The sequence below is a fragment of the Homo sapiens genome, chromosome 4, assembly GCF_000001405.40.
Source record: "Homo sapiens chromosome 4, GRCh38.p14 Primary Assembly".
NCBI lineage: Eukaryota > Metazoa > Chordata > Mammalia > Primates > Hominidae > Homo > Homo sapiens.
The window spans coordinates 8,872,406-8,880,202 of NC_000004.12; positions in this window are offsets into that span (position 1 = coordinate 8,872,406).

Here is a 7,797-nt window from a genome sequence, read left to right on the forward strand (position 1 = left end):
GGGAACACTGCCAAAACAGGACTGCGAAATGTGGCATATCTTAATATTTGCACTTAAGGAAAGATGCTTTCAATGCCAACTGTAGTTCGGTAGAACTCTTCAGTTCCCGGGCTCGGTACCAGTATGTAAGGAAGTGCAACCACAGGGCTCCGCTGGCAGCCCGCTCGATGTTACCAAGCAGGTCTTCACCGCGCCAGCACCCCCACCGCCCGCTCCAGGGGAAGCCAGGGCCTTAGAAGGGGGTGGGAGCTTTTGGCCCAGCCTCTGCCCTGGGCGAAGGTCTTGGGGGCAGGCCCCTTCCCTCGTTGTGCCTCCGTTTCTTCGCTCTAAAGGGGTGGGGAGGTCCTCCCATATCTGCAGCGGGAAGTTCGGGAACATAACGCACCCTGGAGCTGTCTCCGTTCCGGCGTCGACTTCAGACTTACCTACATTAGGTCACTGCGCGGACGCGCGGGTTAAGCCGGCTTCACCCGATGCGAGTTATTTCGCAGAGATACATCCATCCTCCCAGGGCCAGCCCCGGGCCCCTCTCCACCCGAGTACCGCCCGCGTTCCCGGAGGTGACCGCAGGCCTGGGGCTTCCGCTTTGTTTAATTCTTCCAAAAAAGCACGGTGGAGGGAGCATCGCCCCCATTTTTCAGCGGAGAAAACTGACGGGAGAAGAGAGAAGAGACTCCCCCAGAGGGTAGGTGGCTCCGGCAAGCCTGGAATTCCTTCACTGATGCCCCGGAGTCCGGCTGGTTGGCAGGGCGGTGGGGCTCCAGGAGCGGCTGAGGCCTAGCCAGCTGGGCCCTCGCGGCCTGGGTTCGCAGAGACAAAATGGTGCGCCTCTTGGGAGCGTGTCCTGGGTGCGCTTTCTGGCGGCTGCCAGGAAGGACCTCTAGTGCTCAGTGGCTGCCGCGATCTCGAGTGGGAGGACTTTTCCAGGGACTCTAGGACAAGATGCTCAGCCCATCTCCTTTTCCCCGGCATCCTAGCCCAAGAGGGGCAAAAATAATCAATGACAGGGACTCCCCGGGTTGTTTAGCCTGGAGGCAGCCCACAGATGGGGGCTCCTCCCTCCATGTTGTTGATGAGGCCACTAAGCCAAAGTGGAGAGAGTTGGGATCTTAGGGAGGAGCTGAGGTCTCCCAAGCCCTGCTCCCTGGGATGTCCAGGGTCAGAGAGACTCCAAGGAGCAGAGGTACCCCAGCCAGAGGGGGCTGGGCCAAGGAAATTGGGACAGAGCGCCCGATTCGATTAGTTTGGAGCGCTAGCCTTGGGGCAGACACCGTCTACACTAGGGCGCTTTTGACAGATAAGGAAACTGAGGCCAGAGAGGGGCCAGATAAAAAGACAATGTCTGTGGGGAGAAGTGTTTTTCTGATAGCCGTCCAGTTCACACAGGCTCCCCTGGGTCTGTCTGTGAGAGGCGCCTGGACACTCCTGCCCCGTCCAGCCACGCGCCTGCCCAGGTTGGTGGCATTTCCATTTCTCCCTCAGGCCTGGCGGGCTTCCTCTGAGTCTGAGTTCTAATTCCCTCCGCTCTAGGGTTGTGTGGCCCTGGAGGAGGCGTCTTGTGTCTCTGATCCTATAACTGCGGACGATACGCGTCCCTGACGGTGCCAGGTTGTTGGGAGTAGAGGCTGGCCACCACCAGGCGGGTGGTGGCCCTGAGCGCATAACGCTCGCGGGTGTCTTCCCACTGCCTCTGGGGGGCGCGCATGAGAGGGGCGCTTCCACACACTGCCGCGTGGGGCCTGGGATGGGAGCGAAGAGGGGCGGTGGATCCGAAGCGAGGACCGTGCACCCTTTTCCTCTGGGCGCCCGCTGTCTGGGGGTTGCGGAGAGAGCGGGCGCCAGCTGGGCAGAGGCTGGCGCGTCCACACTCTGAGTCTCCCACGCCGGGTCCCAGAGACTTTCCAGCGACAACTGCAGCGGCGAAGCCTGGTCGGCGAGGCGTAGGTGTGGGCAATTGGGCAGATTGTTGACGCTAAAGCGCAGGGTCAGACCAGGACGCGCGAACTGACCGGACTGGTGCTCGCCCAGGCCACTGCCTCTGTGCTCGGTGCTGGTGGCGGAGCCGGCCAGGATCGAAGTCCTGCGTCCAGGTGAGTGGCGACGCCCAGTTTGGAGACAGAATTGCCGGCGGAGGCGCAAGCGGGAATCGCTACCTTCGCGGCGTGGCGCATTTCGATGCGCCCCAGGTCAGAGAGGCTCGCAGTTCACGGCCCAAGAACAGTCTCGGGCAGGGCAGGGGGAGGTCGGGATGCGTGCTCCTCGCGCTCGGAGGCTGACCCCGCAAAGCCGTCACCTTCAGTCGGGGTTTCTTGCCCTCCCAGGAGCACGGTTCAAGATTTCTGATCACTGTTGGACACGTCCGAATTCTGGGACTGAAGGACTCCCCCATCCAAAAAAAGCAAAACGTCTCAAAGTGAATGAGTTGTCACCTTCCTGTCTCCCCATCCCTGTGAGGGCACACACACACACACACACACATCCCCAACCCACAGCCATCCTTCCATGCAGGCAGGGCGCCACCAAGCCCACCACCTCCCTGTCCACTTTAGTCCCTAGGCCTCCCTCCCCTCCTGCGCCTGCCGTGCATCCTCTCCCTTGTATCCTGACCCACCTTGGAACTTCCAGCAAACGCCCTCCAGGGAACCCAGTGCCCTTCTCAACTGGACAGGGAGGTGCCTGACAGGGCCTAAGCCCTCCTCACCGGTGTCCCCAGTGCCTCGCTGGATGCTAGCAGCCAGATGAGTGAGTGGGAAGAATCCACAGAGCATAGATCTGGGGAGGCAAACCACAGCCGCTGGCGTATGTTTGGTTTCCTTTTAATCAACTTTTTTCTTTTGGAAGTTTTAGAGAATGTCCATTTTAAGTTTTCTATTTTCTTGCTTGTTTCATCCCTCATCCCAGTCTTACCCGTCCTGACGTCACCTGTGCGGCCCCACGTACCTGCTCTTGTGTCTTAATTTATAGAAACAGTATGACATTTCACACCTCCACTACTTGTCATTTTGAAAGTATATGTTTGAAGTCAATGACATGCTGGCCAATGCAGCAGTGCTCATTTCCTCTTTATGCTCTCTGCACAGCTCAGCACTCACATGTGCCACGGTTCCGTTTCTATCACGTGTTTCCCCAAACCTTCGTAGTGTGGAACAGCCGTGGATCTGATGCTCACTCCAAGTCAGGGATGGCTTCTCTCCAATTCCTGAAATCTGGGTCTCCTCTGGAAGACTCAAAGCCGGGGGCCGGGGTGGTGGACTCTTCTCAAAGCCCATTTGATCTTTTATCCAAAAGCTGATGCTGGCTGTGCACTCAGGGACCCTTGCTTGGGGCCTCCCTATGTGACCTGGGCCTCCTCACAGCACGGGTTCCCAGGACAAGTGGAGGAGGCCGGAGACCGAGGGAGAGAGAAAGAGAGAGAGTGAGAAGAAAGAGAACCCTCTGCTATACTTATTGATTGGAGCAGTCACAGCTCTCATCAAGGTTCAAGGGAAGGGACATGGACCCAGCTCTCAGTAGGAAGAATGTGGAAGTCACATTGTCAGACTGAACAATGAGAAATACCGTTGCGGTCATTCATTCAGCCCAGGTGCCACAGGGCAGCTTATTCCCCTGGTGGGAGATCTATCTGTAGGCTGCTTCCTATCTGTAGGCTGACTCTCCGCTTTTGCAAATAACATTGGAATGAACAGACCAGTCCATCTTCCTGTAAGAGCCTGAGTTTTTCTGGGGATGAATGCCCGAGAATGGGAATCCTGGGGCGATGGATCTATACAGACTCACCTTCGTGAAGCACTTCAGAATCATCCTCCACAAGAGCTGTATCTATTTCTGTTTCCTCACATCTTCGCCAGCACTTGGTCTCATCTGACTTTTATACATGTGACGCTGTGACAGGTATGAAGGGAAACCTGGCATTTAGGGTGATAGGTCTCTGCTTGCTGAGAGGGTGCAGAGCTGAGCATGTTAGGAAGCTAGAGGGTTGGGTTTATATGAGACAGCTGCTGGGAAGGAGGGAAAAATGATGAATTGGGGTCTGGTTATGAAGACCCCTGCATGCCGAGCTGAAGAATACGGTTCGGTTCTTAATTTGCAAAGCAATGGGGAGCCACTGAAGGTTGTTGAGCTGGGGAGGCAGGGTTAAAGCTGGACCCTAGGAAGAGTCATCTGAACACCACCCATATGCAGGGTGGACAGGAGATGAGGAGGTGCAAGTGGAGGTTCTCAGCATGGCCCAGGGATGAGCAATAATGCCCCCTGAAGGCAGGGGCAAGCCGAGGCCCATCTCCACTGTCTGTGGGGCCAGACACAGTGTCGGTGGGTGTGGAGGGAGGGGGCCCCAGGCAACTGTTGGCTGTTGAACCTGGCTGTGTCTTATTTTCTCCCTTTAGCCCCTCACGCTCAGGCCTGGGGAGCAGTACAGTCTCGAGACATTCTCGTTGTCTTAGTCTGATCCCCACGTCGCAGCCAGCAGGAAATGTCCTTGCAGCTGTGGAGATGTGGATCGGAACTAGGGCACCTCACTCCAGCTCAGCCGCTGGCCCACTAAGGTGTGAGCAAGTCACTGCCCTTGAGGGACCTTGATGTACCCCGCTGTTGAGGGGAACAGCAGGAACGCCCACCCCTGGGCTGGGATATGGGGAGTGCAGATCACCGCATACACAAGCCTTCCGCATACACTGAAAGACACCAAATGCTTTGAAAAAGATCAAAATGTTCAAAACCTACTGTGGCTGCCTTCTGGGGGTCTAGCCATTCCTTCCTTGTGAAAGTCTCTCTTTAGAAACTGGAAAGAGAAGAATTTTCATAAACTACCACGCCCAAAGGCTGGTGGACCAGAGGGGAGAGAGGAGAGGAGTGGGGAGAGGAGAGGAGAGGGGAGAGGAGAGGGAGAAGAAAGGGGGAGAAGGAAGTGAAAAGAGAGGGAAGGACTGGGCCTGAGGAGGAGGAGATGGGAGGAGGAAGGAAGAGGGGGTGGAAGGGAAGAAGGAGTGGGAGGAGAAATGGAGGGGGAAGGAGAGAGGAGGAAGAAGAAGGAGAAAAGAGGAGGTAGGAAGAAGGGGAGGAATATGGAGGGAGAGAGGGAAGGGAAGGGGAAGTGTGCAGGAGGGATGGGGAGAAGCGGAGGGGAGGCATGGAGAGGAGGGGAGGGATGGAAGGAGGGGGAGGGGAAAGATGTTGACCTCGGCATTCCTGGTTGCACAGGTCTTGCAGCAATGGGGTTCAGCCCTCTCCCTGCCTGGGCTCACTCATTGTCCCGGGGAGCTGAGGCAGTCATGGGTGCCATTCTCCCAGGGAAGGCCCACCCGGGATACAGCCTCATGTGCGCGTCCCCCAAGCCTGGCTCCCTGCAGGCTGGAGACTGCCCTGGAGCCTGGAACCGCCGGGGCCAGCTGAGAAGCCGCCTCCGCCGCTGGAGTCCCTGGGAAGGGTCCCCTCCACCTGCCCACAGCCAGCCTGGGAGGCAGACGCGCCAACGTCTGGCCCCTCAGCAGGGACAGCGGCTCCAACAAAGCCACCCCCGGGAGGGGACGCTGTGCCCATGGGGCTGCTCCTCCCCCAACCCCAGGGCCTGGCCCCAGCACCTGCCCTGTGCCAGGGCCACCGAGCTGGGCTCCCTTGCCCTCCATTCAATGCAGGATTTCCCTCTTAACTTTCTTTCGATTTTGAAAACTTTCAAACATAGGCAACAATGAAAAGAACTGGGCAGAGAACACCGCCTGCCCCCCTCACCCAGGACCCCATTGTCCCCCGCCCCTCCCCGCTGATTTCATAGTGTGTGGCAGGCCCCAGCACACCTGCAGGTAGACTGGCTTTGGAGAACCTCTCTTCTCAGAGCCCATTACAAAGGCAGAAATTTGTGAGTTTGGGTCCCAGCTCTGCCATGGAAGCAGCAGGAAGACAGCGCTATTCATCGTCCTGAGCACCGCTTCTTCCTGTGGAAATTGACATAATGAGGCCCCGTGGGAGTGGCTGCAGTGGCTGGGGGGAGACAGTGACGGTGCACACCCAACTCGGGACCTCTGTCCCCAGGAAACCGCCTGGAGGATGGATGCTCTGGTGATGACTTTCAGAAGTGTGATGCCAAAATCAGGCACTGGAGGTAGACTGGCCTTGCACTCAGCCACAGCCCGCTGGACGCCAGCCTCTCCCGGTCTCCATGAAGATACGTGAAGCTGTGGTCACTTTAAGGCTCCGGGTGTGGGAATATCTGGTTTTAATATCAAGAGCACCTCGAGGTGGGTAGGTTTTGGTTTCCACAATGGAGCACAGATTTGTGCTCTGAGTTCCCCAAATCACGGGGGACCTGCAGCCGTCTCAGGCTGCCGGTGACCTTGATTAGAAGTGACTTGGGGCTGGAGGAACAAGTCTGGAACACAGGGCTAGGGCAGCCACGGTGGAGAGAGCCTTTTCCCAAGGAGCCAGAGGGAAGTTTCTGGAAACCACAGCCGGCCAGCACAGGAACCCCACCCGTCTAGACGCTTGGCCCTGTTGGTCTTAGAATGGATGCCGTGACCCAACGGGACTTCCTTGCAGCGGGGGAGCACATGCTCATGCTCGGGGTGCTGGGGAAATGTTTGGCCCAGGCATCCCTGGTTAAGTCTGGAGGAAAATTCCAGGCTTAGCAATCCTTTCCGTAGGAGGGTCTTGGGAGGGCTGCAGGAGGTGGGCAGGGAACAAGCCCCCCACCCAACATCGGAGGCGGGCAGAAGTCAGAAGCTTCAACAGGTTTGGCAGCCACTTTCCACCTGAGCCTGGCTGTAGACTCCGTGCTGGGCTCCTCGTGGATGCTCAGAAAACCCCACAAGGACTTGTGGGGCCTGATGATGTCCCCCATTCACCCCCCTCCCCCGCCCCAGCTTATTCCCTGCGCAGGATTTGTAATTTCAAACAATGGAAACACCCTTCATGTGGATCAGAAGCTGTGACGCACACAGGCGTTCATCGTCACACTGGTGCGTTATGCAGCTGGGAGAAAGAATGGGGTGCACTTGTTATGCGGCCACCCCGAGGACCCATTGAGGTAATCAGACAAGTAGAGGACAGGAAGTGAGTAAAGGGTGGGGGGTTAATGTCCATTGGTACCTACGTCAACATAAGAACCATGTGTCGACGTATGCATTGACGGTTGATGATGTGTGCCTCTATCATGGGTTGAATTGTGTCCTAAAATTCACATGTTGAAGTCCTAACCCCCAGAACCTCAGAAGGTGACGTTATTTGGAAATAGGGTGGTTGCGGATGTAATTAGTTCAGATGAGGTCATGCTGGAGATGGGTGGGCTCTGATCCAACATGACTGGTGTTCTTATAACAAGGGAAAACGTGGACACAGACACGCACCCAGGGAGATGCCGTGGGAAGGTGGAGGCGGAGGTGGGGACAGTGCTGCCACAGCCAGGGACCCACCAGAGGCTGCAGAAAGGCCTGGGCCTCATCTTTCCCTAGAGCCTCAGAGAGAGCCTGGCTCTGCCCACAGCCTGATGTTGGCTTCCAGAACCGTGAGAGAATACAGTCCTGTGGCTCTAAGGCACCCAGCATTCCTTGGCTCCTGCAGCCCCCGGACAAGGTTATCTGTGGGCAGGGATGAGAGAACCTCGCTGGAGCAGAACCGGGTGCTGGAAACAGAGGTGGGACGACCTCTGCCTCTCTGCGCTGTTCAGAACTTCATGGTTTCAGTTTTGTACCAAGTGCAAGTATTAATTTTTTAAAATGTCTGCTGCCCTTCTTGAAAAAAAAAATGGAATGGAAACACTGAAAAGTCACCAAAGAGATAACTTAGAGGTGGTCAGGGGTGTCTGGC